A 22,635-nucleotide genomic window follows, 5' to 3' on the forward strand; every position below is an offset into this window, starting at 1 on the left:
GCCTCAGCCTGCCAAGTAGTTGGGATTACAGGCATGCCCCGCTAAGCCTGGCTAATTTCGTATTTTTAGTAGAGACGGGTTTTGCCATACTGGTCACACTGGTCTCTAACTCCTGACCTCAGGTGATCCGCCTGCCTCAGCTTCCCAAAGTGCTGGGATTACAGGCGTGAGCCACCATGCCCGGCCATGTTTACATTCTTTAACTGCTTTTTTAAAAATTGGATGGTTTGGCCTGGGCAACAAGAGTGAAATTTCATCTCAAAAAAGAAAATTAGGTGGTTTGTAGTTTTCTCCTTCTTCTGTAGGAAATTTTTTTTTTTTTTTTGAGACAGTTCTTGCTCTGGAGTAAGGCTGGAGTCTTGTTCTGGAGTCAGGGTTTCGCTTTGTTAGCCAGGCTGGTCTCTTCCTGACCTCAGGCAATCTGCCCATCTCGGCATCCCAAAGTGCTGGGATTACAAGCGTGAGCCACTGTGCCCAGCCAGATTTGTAGGAATTCTTTATGTTATTTATATGATATTGTCTATCTTACATTATGTGGCTTGATTTTTAATTTTGGCTTATCTTTTTATGCTTTTTTTTAAGTTGTAGTAAAATACACATAACATAAAATTTATCATTCTAACCATTTTAAATGTTCAGTGGCATTAAGGACATTGTGTAGCTATCACCACCATCCATCTCCAGAACTTTTCATCTTGCAAAATTGAAACTCTGTACCCAATATTACTAACTCCCTATCCCCCTACCACCCAGCTTCTGGCAGTCACATTTCTACTTTGTATCTCAATCTGTGTGACTGCTCTATCATTCATTATTTGTCCCTTTAAAAAAAAAAACTCTGAGTATACTTTCTTCATTTTTGTTTAAAACCGAAACTCTGGAAGTTAAAAATAACATCCTTGCCCATGAGCAGCTTTTTTTTTTAAGACAGAGTCTTGCTCTATTATTGCTCAGACTAGAGTGCAATGGTGCAATCATGGCTCACTGCTGCAACCTCAACCTCCTGGGCTCAAGTGATCTTCCCACCTCATCCTTCCAAGTAGCTGGGACTACAGGTACACCACCATGCCTGACTAATTTTTGTATTTTTTGTAGAGATGAGGTCTCACACTACTTTTTGTAGAGATGAGGTCTCAGCCTAGGCTGATGTCAAACTCAAGTGATCCTCCCGCCTCTGCTTCCCAAAGTTTTGGGGTTATAGGCATGAGCCACCGGAGCCATCAAATCCCTGTGCTTCTTACAGACACCAGAAAAAGTTTCAGCCTTGTTTTCAACATTGTTCTGCTGTGCTTTGTCCAAATGAACCTTTATGAGCTGCCTGCCATCCAGTTTCTCTTGCCCACAATTTCACTTGGGAAGACCAAGCCCTCAAGGATTATGTCATGCACGCCTGTCAGAATAGGGCTCCTGGGACACTTCTGCTTATTTTTTGTACAGCTTTTCGAGTTGGCTTATGCAGAATTATCCTCTGAGCACATTATTTGTCCTTTTGTGACTGGTTTATTTCACTTAACTGTCCTCCTTGTCTTTTAGAAGTTTCATATATATATATATATATATATATATATATATATTTTTTTTTTTTTTTAAGACTGAGTCTCTCTCTGTTGCCAGGCTGGAATGCAGTGGCGTGATCTCAGCCCACTGCAGCCTCCGACTCCCTGGTTCAAGTGATTCTCCTGCCTCAGCCTCCCGAGTAGCTGGGATTACAGGCATGTGCCACTACCCCCAGTTAAATTTTTTTTTATATTTTTAGTAGAGACGGGTTTTACCATGTTGGCCAGGATGGTCTCGATCTCCTGACCTCGTGATGTGCCCACCTTGGCCTCCCTAAGTGCTGGGATTACAGGCGTAAGCCACCGTGCTTGGCCCAGAAGTTCTATTTTTAAGAGACAGGTCTCACTCACACGCTTACCCAGGATAGAGTGCAATGGTGCAATGATGACTCTCTGCAGCCCGGAACTCCTGGGCTTAAGTGATTTTCCCATGCCTCAGCCCAGCCTCCTGAGTAGCTGGGACTACAGGTACAAGCCACCACTCTTGGCTAATTTTTTTTTTTTTTTTTTGAGACGGAGTCTCACTCTGTCACCCAGGCTGGAGTGCAGTGGCGCGATCTCGGCTCACTGCAAGCTCTGCCTCCTGGGTTCACGCCATTCTTCTGCCTCAGCCTCCCGAGTAGCTGGGACTACAGGCGCCCGCCACCACGCCCGGATAATTTTTTTTTGTATTTTTTAGTAGAGATGGGGTTTCACCATGTTAGCCAGATGGTCTCAATCTCCTGACCTCGTGATCCACCTGCCTCGGCCTCCCAAAGTGCTGGGATTACAGACGTGAGCCACCGCGCCCGGCCAGCTAATTTTTAAAAAAAATTTTTGTAGAGATGGGAATCTCCCTATGTTACCCAGGCTGATCTTGAACTCGTGGGTTCAAGGGATCCTCCCAACTCAGCCTCCCAAAGTGCTGAGATTATAGGTGTGGGCCACCATGCCCGTCTGCTTTTTTGTATTTTTAGTAGAGATAGGGTTTTTCACGATGTTGGCCAGGCTGGTCTCCAACTCCTGATCTCAAGTGATCCACCCGCCTCAGCCTTCCAAAGTGCTGGGATTACAGGTGTCACCCACCGTGCCTGGCCCTGTTTAATTTTAAAGTAGTCAATTTTTTTCTGGTGTATTTTACTTATTGTCCTCCTTTTTGTCTTACAGAAGTTTAATTTTAAGGTATTCAGATTTTATCTTTTCCTACATGGTGTGTTTTTTGCATTTTAAGAAGTCTTCTCCTACTTTGATATTAATAAAGGCATTCTCGGACCCAGGTCACTGGTTGGCCTGACCTCCTGCTCTGGAGGCACTGTGCCGGAGGACCCGTTTTTTTTTATTTATTTTTTTAAAGACATTCTTCTGTATTTGGTTTTTAAAAGTTAATTCATTTTCTTAACTTCTGTACTCAGGTTTCTCTCTCTACCATGTCATACTGAAACTGCTCCTTCAGGCAGTACCTTCCCAATTACAGAACACAGAGTGAGTTCTCGTGATCATCCATTTTGTACATGTTCCTTCAGCATTTCCATTTCCATCTTAGAACTCTCCTCCTTTGGTTGCTCTGATACTGCTCTTTTCTGATTTTCCTCTAACCTCTGTTACTATCCTTTATAAAATATTGTCACTGATTTACCTTTCATCCTCCACTTGTCTCTGGAATGTTTGTTTTCTCTTTTTTATTCCTTTTGTTAATACCATAGGTCAGGTTTTTATATCTCAGGATGGACTATTTATTTATTTGAAACATGGTGTCTGTCTGTCTATCTATCATCCAGGCTGGGGTGCCGTGTTGTGATCACAGCTCACGCCGCAGTCTTAACCTGTTGGGCTTAAGTGATCCTCCCACCACAGCCTCCCAAGTAGCTGGCATTACAGGCATTTGCCACCATGCCTGGCTGATTTTTTTTACTTTTTGTGGAGACAGGGTTTTGCCATGTTGCCCAGGCTGGTCTCAAACTCCTAGGCTCAAGTGATCCATGCGCCTTAGCCGCCCAGAGTGCTGGGATTACAGGCATGAGCCGCTGCGCCCAGCCCAGATGGACTATTTGTATTAAACGTTTCCTGGCAACTTGCAATAGCTTAAGCCGGTAATCCCAGCGTTTTGGACGGCTGAAGCAGGAGGATTGCTTGAGCCCAGGAGTTTGAGACCGATCTGGGCAACATAGTGAGACCCTGTTTCTACAGAATATTTAAAAAATGAGGCCAGACACGGTGGCTCACGCCTGTAATCCTAGCACTTTAGGAGGCCAAGGCGGGTGGATTGCCTGAGCTCAGGAATTCAAGATCAGCCTGGGCAACACGGTGAAACCCTGTCTCTACTAAAATACAAAAAATTAGTAGGGCACAGCGGTGTGCACCTGTAATCCCAGCTGCTTGGGAAGCCGAGACAGGAGAATCACTTGAACCCGGGAGGCGGAGGTTGCTGTGAGCCAAGATCGTGCCACTGCACTCCAGCCTGGGTGGCAGGGTGAGACTCCATCTCAAAAAAAAAAAAAAAAAAAAAGCCTGGGGTGGGTGGTGCGCATCAGTAGTCCTAAACTACTCTGGATGCTGAGGCGAGAGGATCCCTTAAGCCTGGGAGATCGAGGCTGCGGTGAACTTTGACTTTGCCACTGCACTTCACAGAGCCAAGACCCTGTCTTTAAAGAATAAAATAGAATAAAAGTTTGCTTATGTACATTTATTTTTCTGCCTTCAGTCTCTCCCAGCTTTTCTTTTCTTTCTTTTTTTTTTTTTAAGATGGACTCTCGCTATATCGCCCAGGCTGGAGTGCAGTGGCACAATCTTGGCTCATTGCAACCTCCATCTCCCGTGTTCAAGCAATTCTGCCTCAGCCTCCTGAGTAGCTGGGATTACAGATGCATGCTGCCACACCCGGCTAATTTTTGTGTTTTAAGTACAGACAGGGTTTCACCACGTTGATCAGGCTGGTCTTGAACTCCTGACCTTGTGATCCGCCCACCTCAGCCTCCCAAAGTGCTGGGATTACAGGCGTGAGCCACCACGCCCAGCCTCTCCCAGCTTTTCTAGTCAACCCTAATGGTGCCATGCCACTGGATTTAATTTTAAAAATACAATGTTACATCATTCTCTGTTAGGTTTTCCAGTGCCTATGGGGATAAAGTCAAAACCTTTATACTGTTGTTCTTGTGTCCGGAATTGGTGGGTTCTTGGTCTCACTGACTTCAAGAATGAAGCCACGGACCCTTGCGGTGAGTGTTAACAGTTCTTAAAGGCGGCGTGTCCGGAGTTTGTTCCTTCTGATGTTCGGTTGTGTTCGGAGTTTCTTCCTTCTGGTGGGTTCGTGGTCTCGCTGGCTCAGGAGTGAAGCTGCAGACCTTCGCGGTGAGTGTTACAGCTCTTAAGGCGGCGCGTCTGGAGTTGTTCGTTCCTCCCGGTGGGTTCGTGGTTTCGCTGGCTTCAGGAGTGAAGCTGCAGACCTTTGCGGTGAGTGTTACAGCTCATAAAGGCAGTGTGGACCCAAAGAGTGAGCAGTAGCAAGATTTATTGCAAAGAGCAAAAGAACAAAGCTTCCACAGTGTGGAAGGGGACCCGAGTGGGTTGCCACTGCTGGCTCAGGCAGCCTGTTTTTATTCTCTTATCTGGCCCCACGCACATCCTGCTGATTGGTCCATTTTACAGAGAGCTGATTGGTCTGTTTTACAGAGAGTTGATTGGTCCGTTTTGACAGGGTGCTGATTGGTGCGTTTACAATCCCTGAGCTAGACACAAAAGTTCTCCATGTTCTCTAGATTAGCTAGATACAGAGTGTCGATTGCTGTATTTACAAACCCTGAGCTAGACACAGAGTGCTGATTGGTGCATTTACAAACCTTGAGCTAGATAAAGAGTGCCGATTGGTGCATTCACAATCCCTTAGCTAGACATAAAGGTTCTCCAAGTCCCCACTAGACTCAGGAGCCCAGCTGGCCTCACCCAGTGGATCTCGCACCGGGGCCACAGGTGGAGCTGCCCGCCAGTCCTGCGCCATGCGCCTGCACTCCTCAGCCCTTGGGCAGTCGATGGAACTGGGTGCCGTGGAGCAGGGGACAATGCTCAGGCCACGCAGGAGCCCACGGCAGGGGGGCAGGACTCAGGCATGGCGGGCTGCAGGTCCCGAGCCCTGCCCCGTGGGGAGGCAGCTAAGGCCTGGTGAGAAATTGAGCGCAGCGCTGGTGGGCCAGCACTGCTGGGGGACCCGGCCGCATCCTCCGCAGCTGCTGGCCTGGGTGCTAAGCCCCTCACTGCCCAGGGCCAGCAGGGCCAGTCGGCCGCTCAGAGTGCTGAGCCCGCCAAGCCCACGCCCACCTGGAAATCTAGCTGGCCTGCAAACGCCGTGCGCAGCCCCGGTTCCCACCCGTGCCTCTCCCTTCACACCTCCCTGCAGGCTGAGGGAGCTGGCTCCGGCCTCGGCCATCCCAGGAAGGGGCTCCCACAGTGCAGCGGTGGGCTGAAGGGCTCCTCAAGTGTGGCCAGAATGGGCACTGAGGCCGAGGAGGCACCAAGAGTGAGCAAGGGCTGTGAGGGCTGCCAGCACGCTGTCACCTCTCATTCTGACCTACCTTTCCTGACCTATTTCCTGTTAAGTCACAGATACACACTTGCATTCCTACACATACCTCAGACTTTCAGTCTCCCTCAAACCTTCAGCAATACAAAATTGCTTGCTATTTAGTTGTTTCATCTGTCTGGAATAAGCCCTTATCTTTTTTCTTTACCTTTCGAAACCTACTTGTCCTAAAATACCACCCCTGGTAAGCCTTTCTTGAAGCCAAAGTTTCCTTCTGTTTTTCATTGTCAGACTTCATGAGAGCAGTTATCTTACTATTGATAATTGTACATATGTCCTTCTACTCCTGGTAGATTAAACTCCTTGAGGGCTCATATTCATTTTTTTCTCTTTAGCACCTTGTAGGGTTCCTTGAATGTAGAAGCCTTAGTAATTTAAAGCACACCAAAAAAGTCTTTGATAGGTATCTAATTTTGAGGAGCTGCTGCTAAAAGTGCTCTTAGGACATAGGTTTAGGGCAGGCTTCCGTTACTTTTAGCAAATGTGTGATTATGGATTTTTCTAGTGATTAGAAATGTAGGACCAGCTAGTCTATGTACTCTTTTCTCTCAGTTAACTATGGGTGTCTTGCTTTTAGGTTTCTTTGTTTCAAGTGAAGCATCTTACTTGGTTTTGTCATACCCAATTTTGGGTTGTCTGATGCTGTTGCTTCTCAGCGAGCTGATAATAAAACATTTTATGCTTTTTCTTAAATCACTGTAGTGACTTAGTTTTTGTTGTATAGAATATAGCACAGTTTTTGCCTCCTATTAGACATTCAGTTATTTCCAGTTTCTTGATAGTGTACATGTGTGAGAATTTTGAGTGTATATCTCTGAAAGTGATACATACTGAGTGGTCATTGAGTGTTGGATGAAATTTTAGGTGTTTATATTGTTAGGTGCTTTCTTTCCATCTGCCCATAGGCACTGTGAATGTGAGTCATTGAAAGCAGAGTTCTTTCTCACTGATCTTCCATTCCCCATTGCTTAGCACCATTGCCTGCTAAGCAGGAGATACTTGTTTTCCTGAATGAGTTTAAGGATATTCCTAAGCTCTAGAGAGCTCATCCCCAACCATTGTGAAAGTTTCATCCTGATTCTGGGACTAGGAAGAGTTGAATATATTGATAAAGGTGGCCTCCAGGTAAAGTTGGATTTCTGTTGCATGTAAGTGTTAATAATGTAGTCAGGTCTTGAATTAGGATGATGGAATGTCCAAGCCCAAAACTGGGAAACAAGATAGTGGGAAGGTAATTTTTTTTTTTTTTCTGTAGTTTTCCCTTTTGAAGATCTCACTGGCATCTATTTAGTATATATGACATCATCTGTGGTTCAATTCTTTAGTGTAACTTTACATTTTTTATTTATTCACATATTTACTGAATGCTACCTATGTTAATAAAATGGACATGATCCTTGCTGTTATGGAATAAATTATGGCTCAGTAAGGCAGTGAGAAATTGAACAGCTAATAAGTGTGTTTGTTGACTTTAAGTAAGGGGACCTATGGAAGTTGGGTATTCTAGCCTCAGGGAAAGAGTTTCTTGGGAATAACCGGTAACTGATACTTACAGGATAAATTAGAATGACCATGATCAACTCTGTATACGTATAGATAGTTAATAATCATTTTACAATGAATAATGGAAAAACATTTTATTGTTTTTTTCTATGTATATATGTTTTTATTTATTAGAGACTAGGTCTCAGTTTGTTGCCCAGGCTGGAGTGCAGTGGTATGATCATAGCTCACTGTAACCCTGAACTCCAGGGCTCAAGTGATTCTCCTGCCTCAGCCTTCCGAGTAGCTAGTACTACAGGTAGACACCACTGTGCCCAGTTAATTATTTTTAAATTATTTGTAGAGACTGAGTTTTGCCATGTTACCCAGGCTGGTCTTGAACTCCTGGCCTCAAGTGATTTTCCTGCCTTGGCTTTCTAAAATGCTGAGATTACAGGCCTGAGCCCCTGCCTGGCCAACTTCTGTTTTTCTTTTTTTCTTTTCCTGATGGACTGTCCTACGACTGTTTTTATTTTTTTAACCAAAACTGCGTCATAACCTCTTCTTGGTTTAAGGGAGGCTAGGAAATCTTCTTTAGTTGAGCACAGTACTCCTCAATTAAAATGAGAGTTTCTTTAGTAGGGAAGAAGGAAAAAAGAAAGTTGATTAGACAACTAGCCATGTAGAGGGTAGAGGGGCAAGAATGAACTCAGGATCATTTAGGAAACCTTTTTAGGTAGCTTAGGCAAGAAATTATTGTAGTATGGGGCTAGAGTTGAATAGGGAGCCGAAGAGAAGTTATAAGTATTTGGGAGACCCTCTGTCACCCAGGCTGGAGTGCAGTGGCTCAATCACAGCTCACTGCGGCCTCAAACTCCTGGTCTTAAGTGATCTTCCTACCTCAGTCTCCTGAGTAGCTGGGACTACAGGCACGTGCCACCACGCCCTGCTAATTTTCATATTTTTTTTTGTAGAGATGGGGTTTCACCGTGTTGCCCAGGCTGGTCTTGAACTCCTGGGCTCAAGCAATCTACCTGCCTCGGCCTCCCACAGTGCTGGGATTACAGGCATGAGACACCATACCCAGTCAACTTTTAACTTTTTATCAATAAAATTTTGAAGAGAAAAGTCGAAAGGACAGTACACTTGTATCCCCACTAGCTAAGATCATGTTGCTCTCATGAATATAATTCACTACCAAAAACTTGAGCATGCATCTCTTAAAAATAATATTCTTTTGGTTGGGCATGGTGGCTCACTCTGGTAATCCTTGCACTTTAGGAGGCTGAGGCAGGAGGATAAGTTGAGCCCAGGAGTTTGAGACCAGTCTGGACAACATGACAAAAGCCCGTCTCGACAAAAATAGAAAAAAATAGTTGGGTGTGGTGGCATGTGGCTGTGGTCCCAGCTGCTTGGGCAGCCGAGGTCGGAGGATTGCTTGAGCCCAGTAGGTACAGTGCCATGATCATGGCTCACTGCAGCCTCTGCAGTCCGGCCTAGGTGACAGAGTAAGACCCTGTCTCCAAAAAAAACCCCAAACTTCTATTTTTCAGTTGACTTAAAAAAAAGTCTTATCTACGTAACGTTCACAGATTGTATATAATTGTATTCTTGGGTCTTTTACAATTTATGATTGTTAACCCCTTCACATACCTTTCTTTTTTTCTCATCTCATTAATACTGAAAATCCTGATGTCTGTGATTCCTAGTTTAGGTGTAAAGGTTTGATTAGCTTCAGGTTAAACATTTTGGTAAGAAGATCCCAAGTGATGTTGTATACTTCATATTGAATCATATTAGTACATGTGTAATATCAGATTTTCTTACTGTTATTGATGCTTGGTCACTTGTTTAATCATTTGATTAAGGTGGGAACTACAAGATTTCTTTGTAAAGGTACATTTTATGCTCTTTGCAATTAGCAAGTAAAGGATGGATTACTTCTTTGGCATCCTGGAAATAATCTTATTCCCAAAATCCTTTTACCAGGTGCACTCACACACACCCCCACTCTCACTCATGCTGGTACAGTTTAACCATGCCAGTTAATCTAGCATGTTTATCTTTGGAATTTGGGAAGAAACCTGAGTACCCGGAGAAAACCCACAAAGACGTGGGGAGAACATGGCAAGCTCCACATAAGACAGCAGCCCGTGTGGGATTTTTTTTTCCTCATAAATGTTATAAGGAAATGATGTTATCCAAGGACCTGCTGTATTCTCTTTTTCTCTCTTTTTTTTTTTTTTGAGATGGAGTCTCCCTCTGTCACCTAAGCTGGAGTGCAGTGGCATGATCTCGGCTCACTGCAACCTTCGCCTCCCAGGTTCAAGTGATTCTCCTGCCTCAGCCCCCCAAGTATCTGGGATTACAGGCGCGCACCACCACACCCGGCTAATTTAGTAGAGATGGAATTTCACCATGTTGGCCAGGCTGGTCTCAAACTCCTGACCTCAGGTGATCCACTCACCTCTCTTTTTTCTTTAATTTTTTTTTTTTGAGACAGTGTCTCACTGTCACCCAGACTGGAGTGCAGTGGTACAACTTCAGCTCACTGCACCCCCTGCCTTCCAGACTCCAGGAATCCTCCCACCTCAGCCTCCTGAGTAGCTGGGACTACAGGTATATGCCACCACACCTAGATAATTTTTTTTTTTTTTAAGTAGAGACAGGATTTCACTATATTGCCCAGGCTGGTCTCGAACTAAGCTCAAGCAATCCACCTGCCTCGACCTCCCAAAGTGCTGAGATTACATGCATGAGCCATGAGCCATTGTACCCAGCCCTGCTGTCTTCTCTTTTTTTTTTTTTTTTTTTTCCTTCAGACTGAGTCTCGCCCTGTTGCCCGGGCTGGAGTGCAGTGGCACGATCTCTGCTCACTGCAAGCTCTGCCTCCCAGGTTCATGCCATTCTGCTGCCTCAGCCTCCCGAGTAGCTGGGACTACAGGCATCCACCACCACGCCCTGCTAATTTTTTGTATTTTTAGTAGAAACAGTGTTTCACTGTGTTAGCCAGGGTGGTCTCAATCTCCTGACCTCCTGATCCGCCTGCCTCGGCCTCCGAAAGTGCTAGGATTACAGGCGTGAGCCACTGCACGTGGCCTGTCTGCTCTTAAAGAGATTAATAAATTAGAGGGAAAACTCAGAATGTCTTTGTAATTTAAATTTTTGTTAAGGGAAAATAATAACATTTAAAATAATTGTTTCTCTGTGTTAATAATGGGTACTGTACAATTAATTTCCTTTTTTAAAAAATATATTTTTTGAGACAGAGTTTCTCTCTTGTTGCGCAGGGTGGAGTGCAATGGCACAATCGCGGCTTATTGCTACCTCTGCCTCCGGGGTTCAAGCGATTCTCCTGCCTCAGCCTCCCAGGTAGCTGGGACTACAGGCACACACCACCACACCCATCTGGTTTTTTTGTATTTAGTAGAGATGGGATTTCACCATGTTGGTCAGGCTGGTCTCGAACTCCTGACCTTAGGTGATCCACCCGCCTCAGCCTCCCAAAGTACTGGGATTACAGGCATGAGCCACCATGCCCAGTCCTTTTTTAATTTTTTTTTTTTTTTTAATTGTTGTCACCAGGCTGGAGTACGGTGGCACAATCATGGCTTACTACAACCTGGAACTCCTGGGCTCAAGTGATCCTCCAACCTCAGCCTCCCAAGTAGCTGAGACTATAGGCACGCACCACCACACCTGGCTAATTTTTGTGGTATTTTTGTAGAGGTGGGGTTTTGCTGTGTTGACTAGGCTAGTCTCAAACTCCTGGGTGAATCCTCCTGCCTTGGCTTCCCAAAGTGCTGGGATTACAGGTATTAGCCACTGCACCCAGCCCAAACTGTATTTTTTTGTCTTCTAGTACACCTTGTAATTTTTTATTGAAAGCTGGGCATGGGCCGGGCATGGTGGCTCATGCCTGTAATCCTAGCACTTTGGGAGGCTGAGGCAGGTGGATTGCCTGAGTTCAGGAGTTCAAAATCAGCCTGGGCAACATGGTAAAACCCCGTCTCTGCAAAAAAAAAAAAAAAAAAAAAAAAAAATACAAAAATTAGCTAGGCATGGTAAGTGCATGCCTGTAGGCCCAGCTACTTGGGGGGGCTGAGGCAGGAGGATCACTTTAGCCCCGGAGGCAAAAGTTGCAATGAGCTGAGATGGCGCCACTGCCCTTCAGCCTGGGGGACAGAGTGAGACCCTGTTTCAAAAAAAAAAAAAAATGCTGGGCATGTTTTACTAGGTAAAAGTAACTGAGATACATAAGCCTTTAGTGTGAGGCATTACGTTTATCTGACTTAGGATTGGGCTGTGTTTTGTATTAACATTTTTTGTAGCTGTAGGTGTGAGAACTAATATTTCCTCCAGTGTTCTTATTTTTGTTTACTTTGTTGTCTTGGGGTTCCTTAGAGACTTCTTAAATAAGATCTGAGACATGCAGTTATATATTTTTCTTTTTTAGTTTTTTAATTCCTTGCAAGTATTGCACAAATGCAGTTCTTTGAGTAACGTCCTGTTGTTATACAAAAGCCTTCGTGGCCAGGCATGGTGGCTGACAATTGTAATCCCAGCACTTTGGGAGTCCAAGGCAGACAGATTGCTTTAGCCCAAGAATTTGAGATTTGTAGACAAATGGAGACATGGCGAACCGTCTCTACAGAAAATACAAATATTAACCAGGCATGGTGTCATGCACCTGTACTCACAGCTACTCAGGAGGCTGAGGTAGGATCATCTGAACCCGGGAGGCAGTTTGCAGTGAGCCATGATCATGCCACTGCACTCCAGCCTGGGTGACAGAGCAAGACCCTGTCTCAAAAAAAAAAAAAAAAAAAAAAAAAAAAACACCTCTTGATAGTAAGGTTTCAGTATTCTGTTGTAGTCTTTTAGTGAATCTGTGTACCTGGGCTGTGATATTCACAGTTGCTTCTCAGTTCACACTTCCTCCTTAGTTGAGATTGGAAGGCTGGGATTGGGTTTTTCACTTCCCTTGGGTCAGTTAGCTCTGATAAAACTCCAGTTGGTTAACCTCTGGTGAAATCTTTTCTCTTGAAGGCAGGCCTTTTTAAAAAGAACAGATTACTTTGGAATTACTTCAGAATGGCTACTTTCCCCCTTCCCCCTGCCAGAAGCATGCAGGGAATTTTCTTCCATCCTCACTGTGAGAACCTCCTGCGTTCAAGTGACCCTCCTGCTTCAGCCTCCTGAGTATCTGGGACTACAGGTGCACACCACCATACCTGGCTAATTTTTGTATTTTTAGTAGAGAGCAGGTTTTGCCATGTTGCCCAGGTTGGTCTTGAACTCCTGGGCTCAAGCAGTCTGTCCACCTTGGCCTTCCAAAGTGTTGGGATTACAGGCATGTACCACCACACTTGGCCTTTTTTTTTAAAATAGTATTGTAAATATTTGGGTTTTTAAAATAAAACATTTATTCTCAGAGTTGTGGAGGCTAGAAGTTGGAAATCAAGGTGTCAGCAGGGTCAGATTGCCTCTGAAACCTCTGGGGAATCCTTCCTTGCCTCTTCCTAGTTTCTGTTGGTTTGCCAGCGTTTTTGGTGTTCCTTGGCTTGTAGATGCATCACCCCAATAATCTGTCTTTATGTGGCATCCTCCCTATATGTCTGTCTTAACATGTTGACCAGGCTGGTCTCGAACTCCTGACCTCAGGTGTTCTACCTGCCTTGGCCTCCCAAAGTGCTGGGATTACAGGCGTGAGCCATCGTGCCTGGCCTGTTTTTACTTTTTAACTTTCTGCTAAAATTTTTAAACTTGTACTGAAGTTGAGAAAATAGCATAATAGATATCATCACCCAGTTGCTTTTTCTTTTTCTTTTTTGTAGAGACGGAGATCTCACTTTGCTGCCCAGGCTGGTCTTGAACTCCTGGGCTTAAACAATCCTCCTGCCTCAGTCTCCCAAAGTGCTGGGATTACAGGTGTGAGCCACCACTCCTCCTGGCCTCCACTTTCGGTAGTTATGAACATGTGGCTAGTTTGTCTGTCAGATTCCCACTCCCTTCTAGATTATTTTGCTGTTTGTTTGTTTGTTGTTTGAGATGGAGTCTCACTGTCTCCCAGGCTGGAGTGCAATGGTGCGATCTCGGCTTACTGCAACCTCTGCCTCCTGGGCTCAGACGATTCTCCTCCCTCAGCCTCCTGAGTAGCTGGGACTACAGGCGTGCACCACCACACCTGGCTAATTTTTTGTGTTTTTAGTAGAGACAGGGTTTCACCATGTTGGTTAGGCTGGTCTCAAACTCTTGACCTCAGGTGATCTACCCACCTCAGCCTCCCAAAGTGTTAGGATTACCAGCGTGAGCCAATGTACCTGTCCCCTTCTAGATTATTTTGAAACAAATCTTCTGAGTTATTTTGCAGCAAACCCCAGAATTCTGTCATTGTACAGTGAATAATTCATTGTGGATCTTTAACATACAAGGACATTTTTATGAAACCAAATCAATTGTCTTATTATGTCCAACAAAAGAAACACTAATTTTTGAATATGTAATGACACAGTACATGCTCAGGTTTCCTTGACTTCTGACTTACCTTTTTACAGTTACATTATTCTTCTTAATGGTTGTAATCATTTAGTTTACTTTCTAGTCCTTTTATGTCACAAGCAGTCTTAGAGTACAAATGTTATATCACATACAGAGGATTGTATTGTGTAGGAAAAACATGGACAACAAAGACTGAATTGAAAAGGTGATACTGGAGAGTAGGACTTGATGTGAAGAAGTTTGAGGAGTAGCTTTGACTGTTTTTCTTTTCTCTTTAATAATCTTAAAGGTTTCTTATGGGGGGAGCGCTGAGACAGGATACACCACAGTCACCCAGGCAGGAGTGCCAGTGGTAAGATCACGGCTCTCTGCAGCCTGGGATTCCTGGGCTCAGGTGATTTTCCCACTTCAGCCTCCCGCATTGCTGGGACTATGGCCATGCACCACCACACCCACACCTACCTAATTTTTTTGTAGAGACAGGGTTTCACCATGTTGTCTGGACTGATCTTTTTTTTTTTTTTCCATAAGGATAGAGATGGGCTGGTCTTGAACTCCTGGGTTCAAATGATCAGCCCATCTCCACCACCCAAAGAGCTGGGATTACAGGTGTGAGCCACTGTGCCTGGCCTAATCTTAGGATTGAAGTATATAAATTCTAAAAGTTGAGTAAGTGTATAATAAAAACTGAGTGATAAAGTATTGTGTCATGGTGTAAATGGCAGTGTTTTTTTCTTACTGGCATACATTGAGATGTCCTCTAACTGAAATCTTAGAAGTGAGCCGGGTGCAGTGGCTCACGCCTGTAATCCCAGCACTTTGGGAGGCTGAGGCAGGCAGATCATAAGGTCAGGAGTTCGAGACCAGCCTGGCCAATGTGGTGAAACCCTGTGTCTACTAAAAAATATGTAAGAAATTAGCCAGGCGTGGTGCTGTGCGCCTGTAGTCCCAGCTACTCAGGAGGTTGAGACAGAAGAATCGCTTCAACCCGGGTGGTGGAGGTTGCAGTGAGCCGAGATTGCCCCACTGCATTTCAGCCTGGGCGACAGAGCAAGACACCATCTCAAAAAAAAAAATAAGTAAAAGAAAAGCTCTGTCTTGACTCTTGAATCAGTTTTAAAACCTGGCTTCACTGATTATTAGCTTTGTGACTTTGTTGCCTCAGCTTCCTTATTGGTAAGCACGTAAGTTTGTTTTAAGATTGAGTTATTACATGTACATCAGTTAAAATATTGCCTGTAAATTATATATAGATATTGAGCTGGGAGTGGTGGTTTACGCCTCTAATCCCAACAGTTTGGGAGACTGAGGCGGGAGAATTGCCTTAGCTCAGAGGTTTGAGGCAGCGGTGAGCTATGATTGTACCACTGTACCTCCTGTCTGGATGATAAAGCGATGTATTAGGTATTATTGTTGATCGTTCAGCAACATTACCCACTGTTTCCTTGAAATATTATTCCTGTAGTGTCAGTGATATCAGACTATCCAAATATCTTTTTCTTCCTTTCTTCTTTCCTTTCTTTCCTTTTCCCTTTCCCTCCCCTTCCTCCTGCCTTTCCTTTTTTCCTTTTTTCTTTTTTTTCTTTTGAGACAGAGTCTCGCTCTGTCCCCCAGGTGGGGAGTGCAGTTGTGCGATCTCGGCTCACTGCAAGCTCCGCCTCCTGGGTTCACGCCATTCTCCTGCCTCAGCCTCCGGAGTAGCTGGGACTATAGGCGCCCGCCACCACGCCCGGCTAGTAGGTTTTTTTTGTTTTTTTTGTTTTTTTTTTTTTGTATTTTTAGTAGAGACGGGGTTTCACTGTGTTAGCCAGGATGGTCTCCATCTTTTGACCTCGTGATCCACCCGCCTCGGCCTCCCAAAGTGCTGGGATTACAGGCGTGAGCCACCGCGCACAGCCCCCCACCTTTTTTTTTTTTTTTTAAGGAGTCTTACTTTGTCGCCCAAGCTGGAGTACTGTGCTTCTGTCTCGGCTTACTGCTCCCTCCGTGTCTTGGATTCAAGCAGTTCTCCTGCCTCAGCCTCCAGAGTAGCTGGGATTACAGGCACGCACCACCATGCCCCCAGCTAATTTTTGTATTTTTAGTAGAGGCGGGGTTTCACCATGTTGGCCAGGCTAGTCTCGAACTCTTGACCTTAGATGATCCGCCCACCTTGACCTCTCAAAGTGTTGGTATTACAGGCGTGAGCCATGGCGCCCGGTCTTTCCTATCTTTCTGACTGTATCTTCAGATCACTCCTGAACCCGAGACCTGAATTTTTCATTTACCTACTTGGTTCTTTGGATTTTCACAGATACCTTGTATCCAACATGTCTCAAACTGATTTTTCCCCTCTCCCTCAAACCCTGACTTCTCAATTCTTTGTTTCCTTATCTTTATTATACTGTCATCCACCCAGCAAAAAATCCCCTCTTCTAAGATCATAGCTTTTAGTTAGTAACTAAGTCCTTTAGATTTTACTTCCTGTCTGCCTTAATTCATCTTCTTTTCATTGCACTGGACTTTATTGGCATCTCTCACTGGTTTCCTAAGTATTCTCTCTAATCCCCCTCCAGCCATTTCCCCCTACTCCAGCCAGGTGATCTCTAAGAGACCCAGATCTGATTGTTACAACACTTCAAATTTTTATTATTCTTCATGACCCTGAATAATCTGGCTTTTGACTGCTTCTCCTGCCTCATTTCATCATTTTCATTCTTTGTATTGTAGTCACATTGGCGGCATTTCAATTCCTAAACCTGTCAAGTCCTCGTTTGCCTCCATTTTGCACAGCGTGTACGCTCTGCCTTAAGTGCTGGCTTTTCCTAAAGTTAAGTCTTTTAAAACTAATTTCCTCAAGGAAGCTTCCTCTTACTTTCTAGATTTTCTGTCTGCTAAATGTTCTTCATAGTATCCTGTACTTCATTTAAAAATTATATAATTAGTTCTTCAGTACCTTAGAATGAAATAACTATTGATACAGGTTAGAGAAAATTTCTAGTTGATCATTATACTACCAATATCTGTTATAATGCCTTGCAAATAGCAAGTACTTAGTAAATATTCATGGAATTGATAAATTCAGACTTGAATTACTCTTCATTGTAGATTGAGTAAAGTTTGACAGAAGTCCAGAACTTAACTTTTTTTTTTAAGAGATGGAGTCTCACTCTGTCACACAGGCTGGTGTGTAGTGGCACAGTCATAGCTTACTGCACCCTTGACCTCTTGGGCTCAAGTGATTCTCCCACTTCAACTTCCTGAATAGCTGGGATTACAGACACACGTTTTTTGTTTTTTTTGTTTTTTTTCCACGCTGTAGAGATGGGAGTTTCACTATATGGCCCAGGCGGGTCTTAAGCTCCTGGGCTCAAGTGATCCTCCCTCCTTTGCCCCACAAAGTGTTGGGATTACAGGTGTGATTTAAAAAATGCTAGCTGCAGCCTGGTGTGGTGGCTTAGCCTGTAATCCCAGCACTTTGGGAGGCTGAGGCTGGTAGATCTTGAGGTCAGGAGTTCAAGACCAGCCTGGCCAACATGGTGAAACCCCATCTCTACCAAAAATTCAGCAATTAGCCGGGCATGGTGGTGGGCGCCTATAATTGCAGCTACTCAGGAGGCTAAGGCAGAAGGATCGCTTGAACCCCCAAGAGGTGGAGTTTGCAGTGAGCTGAGATTGCGCCACTGCACTCCAGCCTGGGCAACAGAGTGAGACTCCGTCTCAAAAAATAATAATAATAATAATTGCTAGCTGCTATAGCTTCTTTTTTTTTTTTTTTTTTTGAGACAGAGTCTCACTCTGTTGTCCGGTGGAGTGCAGTGGCGTGATCTCTGCTCACTGCAACCTCCGCCTCTCGGGTTCAAGCAGTTCTCCTGCCTTAGAATTTCAAGTAGCTGGGATTTACAGGAGTGTGCCACTATGTCCAGTCTCTTGTACTATTTTTATCTTTTATTTTCAAGACAGAGTCTTGCTTTGTCGCCCAGGCTAGAGTGCAGTGGCACGATCTCAACTCACTGCAACCTCTGCCTCCCGGGTTCAAGCGATTCTCCTGCCTCAGCTGGTCTCGAACTCCTGACGTCAGGTGATCCGCCTGCCTCAGCCTCCCAAAGTGCTGGGATTACAGGCATGAGCCACGGCGCCCGGCCATCTTGTACTCTTTTCAATGTGGATATCAGAAAATTTTAAATTTACATAGTGGCTTACATTATATTGTATTGGATACTGCTCGTCTAGAACTTGTTTTTAGTAAGGATCATACATGTGTCTCCATGGCCTCAGTTTTTCATTATTCTCCCAATCCCTTTGTTTTCATGTCACTTCTGCTTTGGGACTGTTATGTGCCATAAGCTTCAGAAAACACGGTGGCTCACACCTGTAATCCCAGCACTTTGGGAAGCCGAGGCAGGTGGATCACCAGAGGTCAGGAGTTTGAGACCACCCTGGCCAACATGATGAAACCTTGTCTCTAGTACAAATACAAAAAAATTAGCCAGGCGTGGTGGCGGGCGCCTGTAATCCCAGCTACTTGGGAGGCTGAGGCAGGAGAATTCCTTGAACCCAGGAGTCAGAGGTTGCAGTGAGCTGGGCAACACAGCAAGACTCCATCTCAAAAAAATAAAAAAAAAATTTAACTGCCTAGAAGGTAGAAATCGAGTGTATTTCTTAGGCCTTTGAATAATAGGGGAAAGATAAGTCATTTATATTAAATTATGAGAAAATAATGGCAACTGTTAAGCTTTTAAAGTATTATTTCCAACTAAATTAGGAAGAACTAAATTTCACTTTTACATATGCATGACAATGATGAGCAGGGCTCCTAAAACAGTTGTGGCTTGACTAGGAAACAAATAATAATTTTTTTATATCAATAAGAATTACTTGTAACTTTAGGGGGCATTTAGAATTATATTTGTCTTATTTGAGATTTGGATTTAAATTTTATTTTAGAGCATTTTTTAAAAAATAAATAGAAGTGAGGCTAATATTGTTAATTATTCTCTTTAAAAAATACAGTATTTGCTTTGGGTTAAAATTTTCTGCCCCAACATCATTATCAAGAGTCAGCATATTACAATGATAAATTTAGCATTTACTGTGTGGCAGGCATTGTTCTATATACTTTATTCGTTAAATTCACCAGCGAACCCTATGAGGAACTATCTTATCCTTAGTTGACAGAGGATGAAACTGGAGTACAAAGTAGTTAATTAACTTGTTCATAGCTAGTAAGTTTTAAAAAGGTTAAACAACAATATACTTTGTATTTAGTCCTTAAATGATAAAATCTTCCAGTGTTTAGTTTTTCCCACTAGAATGTAAGCTCCAAGTGGGCAGGGACTTAGGTTTTGTTCACTAACATTTGAGATAGCATATACTAGAACCTAGTCATTATTTGAAAGAATTTTTACAGTGATGATGGTAACAATGACAATATCATTTCACTGAGAGATGGCCTTGGAAATACATTAGAACCGCTTTGAGTTCTTCACTGTTGGTTGTTGACAATAATGTTTTTTTTATCTCATTCAAATTAGCTTCAACGTTATGTGCTATTTTGCATGCTTCATGTATATCTTAATAAAATAGTTGATTTGAAAATTGCTAACTTCTATAGCTTCTTCCCTCTTTTTTTTTTTTTTTTTTTTGGTGACAGAGTCTTGCTTCGTAGCCCAGGCTGGAGTGCAGTGGTGTGATCTTGGTTCACTGCAACCTCTGCCTCCCGGGTTCAAGCAATTCTCATGCCTCAGCCTCCTGAGTAGCTGGGATTACAGACATGTGCTACCATGCCCAGTTAATTTTTGTATTTGTAGTAGAGACAGGGTTTTGCCATATGGGCCAGGCTGGTCTCAAGTTTCTTGCCTCAAATGATTCATCTGCCTCGGCCTCCTAGAGTACTGGAATTACAGGGGTGAAACATCCTGCCTGGCCTAGCTGCTATAGCTTTTATATATCTCTGTTCCTTTTGTGCATTAGAAATGCCTTGAAGCCCCCAGGGAACATCAGGAAAAAAAAAAAAAAAAAAAAAAACAACCAGAGGTCCCGCTATGTGTTTAGCTGAGTTGGGAGAAGAAAGTTTAGAAAAGCAATCTTTGACCTATCCTTATGAAAAATTTACAGTGATAACACAATTCTTCAGAATTTCACCCAAAAGCTACAGCTGCCTTGGTTGTTGCAGTCATTGAAGTGAATAACACATTATTTTATTATTTATTTTTAGATACTACATTTTTTTCTTAGACTGTGGAAACAGGACTGTGAAATTAATTTTGTAAAATCGGGCTTTAATTTTTTTTTTTTTTTTTTTGAGACAGAATCTCGGTCTATCATCCAGGCTGCATGTAGTGGTGCAATCTCGGCTCACTGCAACCTCCACCTCCCAAGTTCAAGCCATTCTTCTGCCTCAGTCTCCCGAGTAGCTGGGACTACAGGTGCCTGTCAGCACACCTGGCTAATTTTTGTATTTTTAGTAGAGATGGGGTTTCACCATGTTGGCCAAGCTAGTCTCAAACTCCTGACCTCAAATGATCCACCCGCCTTGGCCTCCCAAAGTGTTGGGATTACAGTCGTGAGCCACTGCACCCAGCCAAATTAAAGGTTTTATAGTTAATGTTGTTAGGGAAAGGGGAACTATGCTGCTTACTTCTATCCAAGAAACTTAATTCTGAAAGTATTCTCATTTTACAGTAATAAAATTGAGAGTTAGGTGTTAAGTGTTATACCTGAATGAATACCACAAGTAAGCGACAGAACTAGGATTCAGCACACATATGTCTTACTCCAAAGGCCATGACTTTTGTAATACTGTCATCTTTCACCATTCTCCATGTCTTGCTTATAGTTCCTGACTCTTAAAGTAAGACTTTAAGTTCGCTTGTGGGAGCAGGGGGATTGGAGTTTTAGATTGTGAAATAACTGGATGTTTGAATTAAACTGTGGTGGTATAAAGAATAATTGTTGCTTGATGGAAAATTGAGCTGTGAAAAATTTTTGGCTTAACTTTGTTTTCTTTTTATCTTTAGTTCTGTGCAAATAAAGACCCTATTCTAAGCCCTCTAGAATTTTTTTTTTTTTTTTTTGAGACAGAGTCTCACTGTGTTACCCAAACTGGAGTGCAATGGCGAAATCTCGGCTCACTCCAACCTCCACACCCTGGATTCAAACGATTCTCGTGCCTCAACCTCCCAAGTAGCGGGGACTACAGGCACACACCACCATGCCCGGCTAATTTTTCCGGATTTCACCATGTTGGCCTCAAACTCTTGACTCAGTGATCTGCCTTGGCCTCCCAAACTGTTGGGATTACAGGCACGAGCCACCGCATGCACCTGACCAGAATGCTTTTTCATAATGTAATTCATCATGATGATGGTATTTTCTTGAGCTTATTTAGTACATTTTTTCATACAATAATAATGTTCTTTCTATAGAGTGAAAAAAAGAGCAATTTTTTTCTGACTTATAATTTGGGGGCTGGATGCGGTACCTCACACCTGTAATCGCAGCACTTTTGGAGGCCAAGGCAGGAGGCCAAAGGTGGTGGATCACTTGAGCCCAGGAGTTCAAGACCAGCCTGAGAAACATGGCAAAACCCCCTCTCTACTAAAAATTTAAAACTTTAGCCAGGCATGGTGGTGCACACCTCTCGTCCCAGCGACTGGTTAGGCCGAGGTGGGAGAATCACCTGAGCTTGGGAAGTTGAGGTGCAGTGAGCTGAGATCGCACTGCTGCATTCCAGCCAGGGTGATGGGAGTGAGACCGTGTCTTAAACAAATAATAATAATTTGGGGGTGATGTAGACAGAAATAAGGACAGAGGTATGAAAAGGAATAATTATTTAGCATTTTACTAGCCAGAGATTTGGGCAGTCCCAAAAAGCAGCTTTTCTAATCTCCCTCTCCTTTCCCAAAAAACTTTAATCAGATCCTTTAGTATCCTATCATCTTTGGGTTATTTACATACTACTTTTTGGAGGGGGGATTGTGGAAAGCTATCGAGATCTTTGAAAGCATTGATGATTAGCAAGATGATTATTCCTGTAAGAAGCCTTAAGAGGAGAAATGCAAGTGTAAGTTAACACTGGCTTCTTAAATTGGTCAGTGAAAGTTGGATGCCTCCAATTTTCTTTTAACATTATGCATAGATACTAGACAATTTTTTATTTTTATTTATTTATTTATTTTGAGATGGAGTCTCGCTCTTTCACCCAGGCCATAGTGCAGTGGCACGATCTTGGCTCATTGCAACCTCCGTCTCCCTGGTTCAAGTGATTCTCCTGCCTCAGCTTCCCGAGTAGCAGGACTACAGGTGTGCACCACCATGCCCAACTAAATTTTTGTGTTTTTGGTTTTTTTGAGACGGAGTCTCGTTCTGTCACCCAGGCTGGAGTGCAGTGGCGTGATCTCGGCTCACTGCAAGCTCCGCCTCCTGGTTTCACACCATTCTCCTGCCTCAGCCTCCCGAGTAGCTGGGACTGCAGGTGCCCGCCACCACACCTGGCTAATTTTTTTGTATTTTTAGTAGAGACAGGGTTTCACCGTGTTAGCCAGGATGGTCTCGATCTCCTGA

At 43.7% G+C, this 22,635-nt stretch overlaps 1 protein-coding gene across 9 annotated transcripts in view, besides 3 other annotated features; it reads left to right on the plus strand.

The window, feature by feature from the left end:
• UBE2K (ubiquitin conjugating enzyme E2 K) overlaps positions 1-22,635 on the plus strand; it is an 84,657-nt gene that overhangs the window by 14,842 nt on the left and 47,180 nt on the right. The window contains exon 1 of one of the 9 annotated variants that reach the window (XM_047450157.1): positions 10,407-20,498. The exons of the other annotated variants lie outside the window; for them this stretch is intronic. The gene's annotated coding sequence lies outside the window, so the exon portion shown is untranslated. Of the gene's footprint in view, positions 1-10,406; positions 20,499-22,635 lie in introns of those variants that run through there. 9 annotated transcript variants of the gene reach the window in all.
• Positions 800-929: an enhancer, noted in NCBI's record as "active region_21466". NCBI's record gives its function as "activates an Ori minimal core promoter by ATAC-STARR-seq in GM12878 lymphoblastoid cells {active_cell/tissue: GM12878}" and the evidence as "EXISTENCE:reporter gene assay evidence [ECO:0000049][PMID:35858748]".
• Positions 2,897-2,956: an enhancer, noted in NCBI's record as "active region_21467". NCBI's record gives its function as "activates an Ori minimal core promoter by ATAC-STARR-seq in GM12878 lymphoblastoid cells {active_cell/tissue: GM12878}" and the evidence as "EXISTENCE:reporter gene assay evidence [ECO:0000049][PMID:35858748]".
• Positions 19,987-20,066: an enhancer, noted in NCBI's record as "active region_21468". NCBI's record gives its function as "activates an Ori minimal core promoter by ATAC-STARR-seq in GM12878 lymphoblastoid cells {active_cell/tissue: GM12878}" and the evidence as "EXISTENCE:reporter gene assay evidence [ECO:0000049][PMID:35858748]".

This window comes from Homo sapiens, chromosome 4, assembly GCF_000001405.40.
Source record: "Homo sapiens chromosome 4, GRCh38.p14 Primary Assembly".
Lineage (NCBI taxonomy): Eukaryota > Metazoa > Chordata > Mammalia > Primates > Hominidae > Homo > Homo sapiens.